The 13,192-nt window shown below is 57.3% G+C and overlaps 1 protein-coding gene across 24 annotated transcripts in view; it reads left to right on the plus strand.

The window, feature by feature from the left end:
- The window catches only part of MYO7A (myosin VIIA), an 86,996-nt gene that overhangs the window by 16,667 nt on the left and 57,137 nt on the right, over window positions 1–13,192 (plus strand). For 23 of the 24 annotated variants that reach the window (XR_001747888.2, XR_001747889.2, NM_001369365.1 and 20 more), the window contains 5 exons: window positions 2,886–3,038; window positions 10,995–11,179; window positions 11,748–11,869; window positions 11,950–12,092; window positions 12,367–12,480. Coding sequence is in view for 22 of the 24 variants with exons in the window: in NM_001369365.1 (NP_001356294.1) it covers window positions 2,886–3,038; window positions 10,995–11,179; window positions 11,748–11,869; window positions 11,950–12,092; window positions 12,367–12,480 (717 nt within the window). In the remaining 2 variants the exon portion in view is untranslated. Of the gene's footprint in view, window positions 1–2,885; window positions 3,039–7,753; window positions 7,962–10,994; window positions 11,180–11,747; window positions 11,870–11,949; window positions 12,093–12,366; window positions 12,481–13,192 lie in introns of those variants that run through there. The other variant, XM_011545050.3, reaches the window with a different exon arrangement.

Below are 13,192 nucleotides of genomic sequence, written 5' to 3' on the forward strand. Positions count from 1 at the left end.
AGGCATCCCTGGTCCCTGGAATTGACCATGTTCCCTTCCCCCAGTTGCTGGCATTTCTTCAGGCCAGGCCTCAGCTACTGCCCTGGTTACACTTTGGCCCCCGGTAGGTACCTGTGGACCTTGACCTGCAGGGTGCTGGCCTCTGTTGGGACTCCTCCCACGCAGGAAACAGTGGGAGCGGTGCAGCTACTGGGCAAGTCATTTTACCTCTTGAGTCCGGCTCGTCACTGTTAAATGGGGTCAGTGATTCTCTGTTAGGGATGTTAGAGAAGCAAATGTAAATCACAAGGCAGTAGAGTGACAATGCCCAGCTCTGGATGAGCATTTACCAAGCAGCAGCACTCTACAGACCTGGCAGGAGAAAGCTGTCAACAAAGATGGATGTCGTGATCACATCCATCAGTCCTCCCAAAACCCCTGGGAAGAAGGGATTCTTACTCTCATTCCCATTTCACAGCTGAGGACATGGAGGCTCAGGAGGGCAAATTGATGTGCTCAGGGGTCCGGGGTCAGGCCGTGGCTGAGCACTGTCAACCTGTGTGCTGAACTGTCATGGGGAGGGATGTGGGGACCTGAGGCTGGGGTCAAGTGGCGACAGCAGACAGCCTGCCCAGGAGCCCTCTCCCCTCCTGTCCACACTGGGGCCTGGGACAGAGGCAGGGAGCGGGGACCGCATGGGGGGATTTTCCAACAGGATCAGCTTGTATAAGAAATAGGGTGCCTGGGAGAGAGGAATGTTCCACACGGGACTGGAAAGTCCAGGCAGGTTCCCTAACAGTACCCACCCCCTCGCCCTGGGGAGGCTGCGTGAGAGCCTGCCCTGCGTTGAAGTGCTGCTGGCCCAGAAGTGCCGTGGAGTATCAGGGAAACTGGGGTGGGGGGCTCTGTCCAGCGCAGCCCCTAATCCCCCTGAGGGCCTGGGCAGGCTGCCACCCTCCTCCGAGCCTGTTTTCTCATGTGAAGTGAGGGGGCTGGAATGGGGGACTTCTGGGGTCTGTCCATGACTGACTTCTGCCTCTCATTCAGACCTGGTCCCCCGCAGTCACCAGCCAGCCATCTGTCCCATCAGAGGCTCCCTGCCACATCATTTGTGCCCGGCCCCTGTGTGAGGCACCGTGGCCTGAGATGTGGCCCTGGAGGCAGGGGGATGGCACAGATGGAGCATGTGAGGGTGGCCAGCACTGTCAGGGGAGGCTTCAGAAACTGGGAAACCTCCGAGCCAAGCCTCGAAGGCTAAGGAGAAAGAAGGTAGAGGGAACAGTGGAGCGAAGTCACAGAGGCCTTTGGGGACATGAAACCCGTGTTCCCTGGCTAGGATGTACCGGGGGTAGCTGGGATGGAGGTTAGGGGTCCTTGTGTCTAGCGCATGCTGGCCCTTGATGCCAGGCTGAGGAGCCCAGGGGAGTCAGGGAAGGGCTGAGAGCCCCAGAGTGACAGGGTCAGGAGGGTGCCTCAGGAAAGGCCCAGGGGACGAGGGATTTGATGGAAGAGCTGGAGGTAAGATGGGGACAGCAAGAGGCCGGGGCCGGGCCAGTGAGAGACGGTGGTCTCAATCAGGGTATGGGCTTGAGGGTGGCAAGGAGGGTACTGCCCACTCAGCAGCCTTTTAGAGGGTTGAATGGGCAGGACTGGGTGACCTGTTGGACTGGGGTGGTGGTGGGGGGAGCTGATGTCCAGATTCCTGCTAGTGTCCAGCTGTTGGGGTTGACTATGCCAGAAGGGACCTGGAGGAGGAGCAGGTGGGGGAGGACATGGCATGTGCATCACATCTGCTCAGCGAGTCTCAGGGCCTGAGCTGGGAGGTGGCAGAGAGGTCCCCTTTCCCCCCAGAAGGCAGGTCCTGGGGCTACTGGGTCATGGCATTTGGGGATGGGAGGGCTGACGTACTCTCAGGCAATGGCCACACTTCCCTGAGAGTCTGGGATTTTGCAAAGGTGCTGGAGACCCTCTGGGGGCGGGGAGGGCCCCAGGGCCCTGAGGAAACCAGGGCTTTGCCAGCTTGTTGAAAGAGCTGGTGCACTTCCCAAATGCTCACCCATCTGCCACCACAAGGCAGCTGGGGAATATTGCGGAGTAAGGAGAGCTGGGCAGGCAGCCTGTGTCCTCCACTTCAGCTCACACGTCCCAAGAGTTCACACCTCTTGCTCCCACAGGTCATCAGCAAGCCCCAGGAAATATCTCCTGGGTGGGTCCCCTTCTCCCCATCACCACTGCTACTGCCCTGCCTTCCAGCTTTCCCCTGAACCTGCCAAGCCTTTGCCAGCCTGAGGAGTTGTTTTGCTGTTCCCTGGGCCTGGAGCCCTCTGCCCCCCTCCCCCTAATCTTTTTACAGTGGTCTCTTTCTCTTCCTTCATGCCTCAGCTCATATGCCACCTCCTCGGAGGGGCAGTCCCTGACCACCACATCTCAAGCAGCTCCCCCCATGACTCTCCACCACATACACCTGTTGAGGTATTCTTGGCACTATCTGAAATCACTTTTTAATGTTTTTCTTTCTTTCTTTCTTTCTTTTTTACCGGAGCCTGAATTTGAGACCAAGCTTGTCTACTTCTAATTATTACCCTTTCCACTCCATCCTGCAAAGGGCCTGAGGGAACTCTGATCCCCTTACTGACAACAGTCAGATGGGGCCAAAATCCCTGCCCTGCCCACCTCTTAGGTCTGCGGGAAAATCCCCTAAGAGAAGGAGCGGTCCTTGAGGGGTAGAGGTGGCTGGTACCATCCTGACTGAACCCTGTTAGAACTGACAGTGTCTGGCTGCCAGAGAGGTCGAGGCCCTTACCCGGGTTGGCACTCACCCCGCGCTCCCGCCCGTCCCGGCCCCTTCCCCTGAAGTGCGCAGCCTGGGCCCCAGGAGAGCACGCTGACGTTCTGGCTCCCCGCAGGAACACTGGATCTCTCCGCAGAACGCAACGCACATCAAGCCTATGCACCCCACGTCGGTCCACGGCGTGGAGGACATGATCCGCCTGGGGGACCTCAACGAGGCGGGCATCTTGCGCAACCTGCTTATCCGCTACCGGGACCACCTCATCTACGTGAGTGCCGCCCCGCCCGGTGCCCGTCCAGGCCCCCTCAGGCCCCGCCCCGCCCACCTCGCCCCACCCCGCCCGACTTGCCTCCGGCCCCGCCCTGCCGGGGCCCTGCCTCCTGAGACTTTGTCCGCTGTGCAGCTGGACCCCGGGGCCCCTGCTGGGGCCCATCTGCCGGCAGCCGCTCGGCGGGGTCTCATCCTCTTGGGCTGTGGCTTTTGTAGTCTGTGGTTGGGGTGGGGAGCGGTTTGTACTACGCAGTTTTCATGTGCCTCTCTAGGCCTTGAAACCAATGGGAGGCCAGGGTGGAGTCAGTGAGCGGCTTGGTGCTTTGCCCATGCACAGGAGGGCAGCTCTGCTGGGCGTTTGCTAAGGGACTAGGACCTGCCATCAGGCCGCAGGGCCAAGAGAGGATGGATAGGGATGGATGGATATCCTCAGGAGGGTGCTAAAGGAGGGAACATGCTCTGCTCCTCCACCCCTCAAACCTTGATATTAGAAACACACACACACACCACTCTCCTCCACCTTCAAATGGGGAGGACAAATAAAGATGTCTGCCCCAGCCAGGACAGAGCAGATTCCAAGAGGCTGAGCTCAGAGAAGAGCAGAGCAATAAGGGCCCGTGGAGATCATTTACTCTAGAGGTTCTCACACTTTTTGGTCACAGGGACCCTTTATGTTCTTAAAAATTATTGAGGATCCCAAAGGACTTTTGTGTACTGGGTTATATCTGTTGATATTTGCCATATTAGAAGTTAAAGCTGGGACATTTAGAAACGTATTAATTTTTGAAAAAGTAACCATAATAAATCTATTATAAGATAATATAAATAACATTTTTACTAAAAATGACATTTCCCAAAATAATAAAAATGGTGAGAAGAGTAGCATTGTTTTTACAGATTTTTTCAAATCTCTTTAATGTCTGGCTTAATAAAGCCAACTGGATTCTCATCTCTGCTTCACGTCCAGTCTGATGTGATATTTTGGCTGAAGTGTTTGAAGAAAATCTGGCCTCACAGATGTGTAGTTGGAAAAGAGATGGCTTTGCAGACTTCCTGCAAGGGTCTTGGACCCCCTAGGGGTCTTTGGTCCACACCCTGACAACTGCTGCTCTAGCCCAATAGCCCAGTTGCAGACAGGGAAACTGAGACTCCACAGGTTTAGCCAGGCCCAGAGCTGTGCCGTGCCCGGGTCACTGCCTGCTTCTGACCCAGCCCCATCCTCCCGCAGCCCAAGGGTAAAGGAAACCAAGGATGTGCAACCCCCAGCAGAGAGCAGGAGGGACCCCCCTGATGCAGGGCTGGCCTGATTATCTCGAGACCCAGGCCCAGGGAAGGCTGGTACTAGGGGCATTACTGGGGGAGGTGTGGGGTCTGCAGGAGTGATGTCACTCCCAGCTCAGAGGGGTGGTATTTGGGCTTCTGGAGGTGGGTGAGGTTGGCTGGTAGAGATGGCATTCAGGAGGGGGCATGGCATGAATAAATGCTGGAGGTAGGGCCATGCTGGCAAGCGATCGGCAGGCAGTGTCCCTCAGGTTGTCAGGACCATGAAGGGGTGCTAGGGCCCAGGGCTGGAAAAGTCTCAGGGAGCCCCAGGTGTTGTCACTGAAGAATCACGGCAAGGAGCTCTCAGGGCCAGGGGTCCAGTCCCTCTCAGGAGCCCTGGAATTACGGCCCTTCAGCTGCCAGAGAGGTCCTCAGCCACTGTCTGACTCTAGGTCCCTCTGCAGCTTCAGGCTCCAGAGGAGAGGCTGTGTATGGCTCCTTGCTGTCCATTTTTTGGGCATAGGAAGTGGCTTTCGCAGGGAGCCTTCTAGCACTGACAAAGCCCCTCTCACTCTGTCCCTCAGTCAGGCCTCACCTGCACTCAGAGAGGCAGGGCATGGGGGGCTCTTCCAGATGTCATCAGCATCACCCAGCCAGCAGGGAGGAGCTAGAACTCGAGCCCAGGGCACCCACCCGCCGTATCTCACAGGGACCCGCTGGTGTCCACACCCCAGTTCTTGGCAGCCCCCTCTTCCTCTCCCTGGAGGGCAAGTGGCTACTGGTGGGTCCTGGGGTTCTCTGTGGCCACTCACCCAGGCCTGGGCAGTCCCACCCTTAGGTGAGCAGGGAGCCTGTCCACCTGCCTGCAGGGTACTTCCAGGGCCAGTGTTTTGTCATTGTCCCTATGCTGAGGCTGGAACCCAAGGCCCACTCTCCTGTCAGGAGGAGGCGGAGGGCCCCGTCTCAGGGGAGGAGCTGGGTAAAATGGAAGTTTTCCCGCCGGGCCCCCTGCAGACCAGTGTCTCAGCATAGCTCAGGGGCATGAAGCATGTGGGTCAGCCACAGTGCAGGCAAGCCGGTCCTCATGCGAAGGAGTCGGTAGGTCAGCTGCATCAAGGAACAAAGGCAAAAACAGGATTCATAAGGGAGAGGGAGGAAAAAACTTCAGACACCATGGGCACAGTGAATCTTGTTTGTAAAATTAGGAGGGTGGTGAACTGATCCCTGGGTGGCCAGCAGAGGATAGCTTGGACATTACATCCTCCAGGAGGGTTTCAAAGAAAATAACTTCAGAGATTTATGGGTTCTCCAGAAAGGCCCCAAATCTGAACCATTTGCCTCATTTGAAGTTCTCACCATAACCTTTCTGACTTATTTTCTGGGCGAGAGGGAGGAGGCAGGGCCGTCCCCTGTGGAGGGACGGGGTGGGGGTCCAGGTAGGTGAATAAGCTGCCTTCTTGTCCAGGACCCCTGGCCGGGAAACCACGCTGTGGCACCTGGAAGGGCCTCAGCTCCAATAGTCCGCTGACCTTAGATTCTCAGTGTCTCTTGGACTGGGGATCCATGCTAAAGAACTGTGGGATTCAAAGAGGTTTCCTTGACTCGCTGAGTTCATGATTCTGTGACTTGGTGGATGAGGTAGGATTAGAGCAGGGCTTTGAAGAAGCAACTGGGCCATCGTCCCACCCGGAAACCAAACCTGTCCCTGACCATGGCAACCCCCCGTCCCTTCATGGATTGGGTTACCCTGGGCACAACACGTGCGCTCAGGATTTCCTCCGATTACCATGGCCAGCTCACAGCCTTGGGCCGGCGGATGCTCTGCTCTTGACTGTCTTGGGCTCGCCTGCCTCCAGCTTCCCTGTCCCCAGGAGCCTGAGAGAGCATCCCAGGGCCACACATCAGCCCCAGCCACTCCAGAATGAGGAAAGGCCCTCAGAGAACACTTAGCAACCCCTCACTGCATGGTCCTAGAGAGCAAGGACTGTCCCCGCATTGTGTGGAAGGGCTGGTGGGGACCCAGGGCTCCCTAACGCTGAGCAGAGGCTGGAGCCCTGATCTGGGAGGTGGGAGGCTGGTGTCCAGTCTTGGCGTGTGCCCTTGGGGACATCCCTATCCCTGTCTGGTCTCAGCCTTTCCTAGGCACAACAGGGAGACTGCATGGAGTGGGCACCTTTGTGGCTGTAGGAAGACTTGTGAGTCCCAGGATGTGTTCTTGGTCTCCATGGCCCGCTAAATGCTAACGAAGTCCCCAGAGCCGACAGGCCTGGGCACTTCCTGGAGGAGGTGAAATTGATTCCTGCTACATCTCTGTGGCCTCAGAGAGGCCCCCTGAGCTCCGCCTGGGGACCCCTAGGGACCACACGTGCTGTATCCCTGGTTTGGGAATAGTCCTCCTCTCTCCCCACCCAACCTGTGACTCCACAGGGCAGATTTTACTACTAGAGATTGGAACAAGAGGTCTGTGCTGGGCATTAATTCTCTGCCAACCTGAATCCTTAGAGAGATTGGCCAGAGGGCTCAGGGAGCAGTGCTAAGACCTTGGAGGACCGATGGGCACAGAAGCCCAGAGAGGGCCAGGGCCTCATTGCCAGTGGTGGCCAGCCTCCTCTTCCGGAGACCCCAGCTGCTGGCTCTGTCAGTCCCATGAGTGTGTTCCTGGGGTTTGGGGAAGCCCAGGTGGAGAGGCCAGAGCTGGGGCTCTGGTGCCAGGGTGTCTCGTTCACCCTACCCCCCACACATCTGCTGTGTGACCTTGGCAAGTCTCCCACTTCTTGGAGGCTCGCCTCTCTCATCTGCAAAGCGGGGATATGATCACACCTCCAGAGGCCTTCTGAGGAAGTAAAAGGGGTGATGGGGTGGGAGCTGCAAAGTCCTGAGCCCAACAGGGCTTGCTCTTGCCCTCTTACTGGAGAGAATCTGCCTCACCGAGGAAAGAGGCCTCATTTCTCTTATTTGTTTTGTAGATAGATAAGTAGTTAGGTAGATACATACATACATAAAAAATTATTCATTTTTTTCTGCACAGATGGTAGCATCCCTCCCACGCTGTTCTGTGGTTTTCCACTGGCCACATCCCGACCGCCTTTCCCGTCAGCATGGCTGGGGCTGCCTCAATGCTGCTGACAGGCCTGTCCCCTCGCTACCTTCCCTGCAGATTGCTGTGGCTGGCAGTGGCAAGGCTTCCTGTTGTGGCCTTGAGGCCCTGCCACAGGGGACAACAGCCTGGCCCTTCTGCCACCAGAGCAGGGTGAGGCACTCAGGGTTACTTCTCCCTCCTCCCACCCCACGTCTCAAACTTGAAAAGGTCAGGCAGGCCTAGACCATAATTGGCAGTGGATGTATTGATATCCGGGGCCTGGAGAGGCTGAAGAAAGATGTCCAGGGGAGGTGACAACCTGCCCTGTACTTCCCCGCCCATTGATCTAGTTGCTCTTTCGGCCGCTCAGCAAACGTTGCTGAGCATCTCTTATGTGCCGTGCATGGTGCCAGGCCCTGGGGGACAGAGGCCTTGAACGGGGACTGTAGAGGAGTCAGCTGGGCATGCTGAAGGAGACCTGTGGGTATGATGATTGTACAGGAAGGTGCCTGGCTTCCTGGAGGAGGCATCGTCTCCGCTTGAAACTGAAGGATGAGAAGGAATTATCTGGACGAAGGGGTAGGGGAAGCGTGTCCCTGGTCTGAGATGGCAGGGGATGGAGTGTGGTGCTTTTAACTGAAAGTTTCATATGAATGGAGCCTCTTGGTTGTGAGTTGAGGTTGACGAGGGTGGCAGGAGCCAGGGCTTGGGGCCTTGTGGACAGGGAGAGGATTTGGACTTTGTCCAGAAGCTGTGGGAAACAGCTGGAGGGTTTTCAGCAGGGATGATGTGGTTAGATTTTTTAAAAGCCTGCATGGCTCCGAGTGGAGGATAGATTGTTGGGGGGTTGAGTATGGAAGCCGGGAGTCCAGTGGGGAGGCACCTGCAGTGGGCTGTTGAGAAATGAGGGTGGCCTGGCCAGGGAGGCGGCATGCAGATGGAGAGTGGGAGTGGTGTGAGGGAGGGGTGTCCAGGGGCTCCCCAGTTTCCTGCCCTGGGTGAGGGATGTGATGGTGCTGTTGGTCGAGTTGGGAAGGCTGGAGAGAGCAGGGTTGGAGGGAAGGGGGAGCTCTGGTCTGGATGTGCTGGTGGCATTGAGTAGGGACATCAGGAGGCTCAGGGCTGAAGGGTTCATGTGCAGGAGGACCCTCTGGGCTGTGGGCAGAGTGGAGAAGGCCGTGGGTGCCATGGGTGGGAGAAAGCCTGGCCCCAGCCCTGGGCCAGCTTCTCACAGCGTCTCAGCATCCCCCATGTCCCTCTCTGGACTTCCCGTGCCTTGCACGTGGCCACAGAGCCTGCTCCCAGGGCCTCCCTCCATCGGGCTCTGACTGCCTTCTGGAAGCTGGTCCATTAGGTCTGAAACGGCCTCTGCCTCCAGCCTGGGTGACCACCATTCATCCTCCACAGCTGCCGGGGTGACCTTTCACCAGCAGACCTCCTAAATGTCACGCCCTTTCACGCCTCTGTGCTTGCTACCAGCGGCTGGGCCCCCTGGCTCTCCCTCCCCTACACCCCTATCTCATGAAATCTAGGGGCCTCCGTCAGGGCCCTCACACCCCAGCCTCCCCGTGTGTCTCAGTAAAGGGTTGTTGAATGGCTGCATGGCATCAGCCTGTGCTGTGTGGGGATCATGGGCCAGACGGCTGAGCATCACATTATTAAGAAGAAAGTTTAGCTGGGCATGGTGGCACATGCCTAGAACCCCAGCTACTCGAGACGTGGAGGCAGGAGAATCTCTTGAACCCAGGAGATGGAGGTTGCAGTGAGCTGAGATTGAGCCACTGCACCCAGCCTGGGCGACAGAGCGAGACTCTGCCTCAAAAGAGAGAAAGGAAGGTGGCGTTTATGTATCAGGCGCCTGGCAAAGGTTATGTCTTTGCCCTTTAGTCTTTACAACAGCCAAGGGAGGTGGGTGTTAACCTCCCCTTTTACAAATTAGCAAACTGAGGTTTGCCAAAGGGATGTTCTTTGGGGCTGGTTCCTAGTCTGATGCAGGTTTCCACCAGAATCTAGCCGGTTCCCATGGCTGGGCAGGGCTGAACTATAGGGGATGATGGCTGAGGGGTCTGAGAGCAGGGCCTGGTGGGCTGGGGGTCCACAGGTCCTGATCTGAGAATTCAGCAGCCCTGGGCCATGTGGGTGTCATTCGTGGAAAATGCTCTTGTAGCCCCTGTTCCCCACTGACCAGCTTCCTTTGCTTCTGCTCTGCACTTTGCAACCTCAGACCAACTGCGGAGGGCGGGTGAGTGTGGCACAGAGAGCCAGCTCCAGCTGGCGTCTTATTTGGCTGCCTGCCTGCTTGGCCTGGCTGCTCCCCTCCAGCCTCCCGCCCCCACCCCACCCCAGCTCTTCCTGCTTGGCTCTTGTGGTACGGTTAGTAGGTCAGCACAGTGAGGCTCAAGTGCTTCTCTCCATGGGTTGATTGGAGGAAGAGGCTTAGGTGGGAAAGGAAGGTCTTCCTGGGCCCAGGGGCCCAGAGAAGGGCAGTTTCTGGCCAGCCCTCCTGGTCCAGGCCAGCCAAGGCCAGGACTGGAGCCTGGGTCTTGGCCCCACCTGGCCCCAGGGTGGGCATTTCCCCTGGCATGCGGTGCCTGCATCCACACTCTCCCTGCGTGGCCACAGTAGGCTGAGGCTGCTGGGGCATAGCTGCGGCTCTGCTGTGATGCACTGAGCCCTGAATGGGAGGGGGAGGGCAGGTTGTCACCTCCCCTGGACATCTTTCTTCAGCCTCTCCAGGCCCCGGATATCAATACATCCACTGCCAATTATGGTCTAGGCCTGCCTGACCTTTTCAAGTTTGAGACGTGGGGTGGGAGGAGGGAGAAGTAACCCTGAGTGCCTCACCCTGCTCTGGTGGCAGAAGGGCCAGGCTGTTGTCCCCTGTGGCAGGACCTCAAGGCCACAACAGGAAGCCTTGCCTACAGACAGCTGATCTTTGCACTAACAGAGGAGCCCAAGTAGAGAACCTCCTTAAGGCTATCTGAGGTGCACCTGGCCCCTGCGCCTACGCTGCCCAGGATGGCTGGAGGTGCTCTGTCCCCTAGAGCACAGCATCTCCCTCTGTCCTGGGGCAGTGCTACAGAGAGTGGGGCCCACCCAGCCCCCAAGCCACTTACCCCAGCTCCTTCAGCTCTTTATGGCTAATTTCTCACGCCCCTCTTCCTCACCAACCTGGCCTCCCTCTGGACATGGTCCCGTTGATTAATTTCGCTCTAAAAGTTTGGGATACAGGGCCTGGAGGCGATGGTGGGAGACAGCATTTGCAGAGTACCTAGTGTGTGCCACGAATTTTAAAAGATACCACCTCCTTTAATCTTCACAAACAGTTACGCTCATTTTACAGATGAAGAGAAGGAAATCTAGGCTTAGAGACTCCACCTCCCTCTTCATCAAATGTCACTGAGCACTAACTCCGAGCCAGACCCAGTGCTGGACAGAAGGCCCTGCCCCAGCTCCTAAGGAGGCCCGATTCTGGCTCCAGGTCCACCCACATGACTCCAAAGCCAGGACTCTTCCCTCCAGGGTGCTGGAGCAGGGCAGAGCCCAAGAGCTTTCTAGAGTCAGAGTCTCCCACATGGAATCAGCGAGCTCCCCATCTCTTGCTGCCCGCAGACGTATACGGGCTCCATCCTGGTGGCTGTGAACCCCTACCAGCTGCTCTCCATCTACTCGCCAGAGCACATCCGCCAGTATACCAACAAGAAGATTGGGGAGATGCCCCCCCACATCTTTGCCATTGCTGACAACTGCTACTTCAACATGAAACGCAACAGCCGAGACCAGTGCTGCATCATCAGGTGGGCGGCCCAGCACCTGTGTGGAGCTCCAGGCTTAGGACCTAGAGCTCCAACTGTGCGCTCCTGCTGATACCTCTAGGAATTGCCCCCGCTGTCGGAAATGCCATCAAGCTCTTCAGGAACCAGACCTATGTACTCTGTGCTGTGTAACAATGTAGAAAATCACCTCCCCTTTCTGGGGTCTTATATCTCTGTGCTACCAAAGCTCACATTAGCTTTTGAGGCCAGCCTTGTTTACTGCTGGTTCCTGTTAAGTTATGGTCAGTTGACATCTCAGGCTCCTATTTTCTTTTGGGCAGAGGGCAAAAGACAAAGCATTGACTGAGCATCTAATATGTGTTGTGCTCTATGACAAGTATGGATGCAGGTGTATTTGTATCTGAACGAAGGTGAAGGAGAGTGCGGTGGAGCACTGGGCCCTTGAGCCCTGCCCCAGCCCTGGAGGGTCCGTATTGTCAGCTGATATTACAGATGGGGGAGCTGGTGGATGGTGCAGCCTGGGCTGAGTTCCAGTTGGTGGGGAGTCCCTGTGGGTTGTGACAGGTCCTGCCACTCCCTCCCTCTGCAGTGGGGAATCTGGGGCCGGGAAGACGGAGAGCACAAAGCTGATCCTGCAGTTCCTGGCAGCCATCAGTGGGCAGCACTCGTGGATTGAGCAGCAGGTCTTGGAGGCCACCCCCATTCTGGAAGGTAGGACCAGAGTTCCGAGGGTGGGACCAGGCAGTGGGGCGGGAGCGGGCTTTGCCAGTGACACCCTACTCACTCCGCAGCATTTGGGAATGCCAAGACCATCCGCAATGACAACTCAAGCCGTTTCGGAAAGTACATCGACATCCACTTCAACAAGCGGGGCGCCATCGAGGGCGCGAAGATTGAGCAGTACCTGCTGGAAAAGTCACGTGTCTGTCGCCAGGTGGGCCTGAGCCCCAGGGATGCAGGAATAGACCCAGGCCCCTGGCCTCAGGGGTCTGCGTGGCCCACCTGCCCGTATTGCTGCCCGTATTGCTCCCCCACCTGCCCGTATTGCTGCCTGCTTCCCTCTGTGCTGGAAATCCCACCATGAAACCCACCGATGGGCTTCTCCACAAGCCATTTGTTAAAATAGTAAACCATCATCCCAGGCTAGTTCCTGATGGCCTCCTCTGGCCCTCCTCCCCTGGCCCCCAGCACTGTGCCCACATTTTCAGGCCCTGGATGAAAGGAACTACCACGTGTTCTACTGCATGCTGGAGGGTATGAGTGAGGATCAGAAGAAGAAGCTGGGCTTGGGCCAGGCCTCTGACTACAACTACTTGGCCATGGTGAGGCCCAGGTGGGCCCCTGGGTAGGGGGGCACCCACCCTAGGATTGTAGGGAGCTGGCTACTGCAGACTCAGCCTTGAGGTCTCACTGGTCACAGGGCTCAGGTGCCAGCTTCTTGCTGGCTTGTCTGGACACCAAGGAGAAGTGGGCTCCTGGCCATTGCTGCCACCAAGCAAAGGGTGGGGGACCTTGGGGCACGCACACGGCAGGCTGGCTTGGGAAGCACCACTCCTTTAGCCATGGGGAGAGCCCATGTCTGGTTGCCTGGGCTGGGCTGGGGTGGGCCAGGCCACATGGACGTAAGTGTGGGCTATGGCACCTGAAGCGTATATGTGTGTGTGCATGTGTGTGTTGTAGGTGTGACAGGTGTCCCTGGACACTTTCTGTAGCTGGCTGGCACACACGTGCACACACACACACTCTTGTAGACACACAGAGAATGGGGTGTGCCCACTGTTGAAACCCTGCTCGTATGCAGTTACCTCTCCTCTGTCTACACCAGGCAGTACCTGCCTAGGGGGTCGAGTCCCTGATAGTGGGTATCCCCGGGGGGCTGCAGGAGCCTAGTAGGGCCTAAGTGCTGTGACTGCCAGGTGGGCAACAGGGGCTGGCCTGGCATCAGTGACCTGCCTGCTCTTCATGGGAAGAAGGGGCACCAGCACCCCCAGATGTGGAGAATGAGTTCCTGGGAAGCCCAGGCTTTCTAGACCC

Source organism: Homo sapiens, chromosome 11, assembly GCF_000001405.40.
Source record: "Homo sapiens chromosome 11, GRCh38.p14 Primary Assembly".
In the NCBI taxonomy this organism is placed as follows: Eukaryota; Metazoa; Chordata; class Mammalia; order Primates; family Hominidae; genus Homo; species Homo sapiens.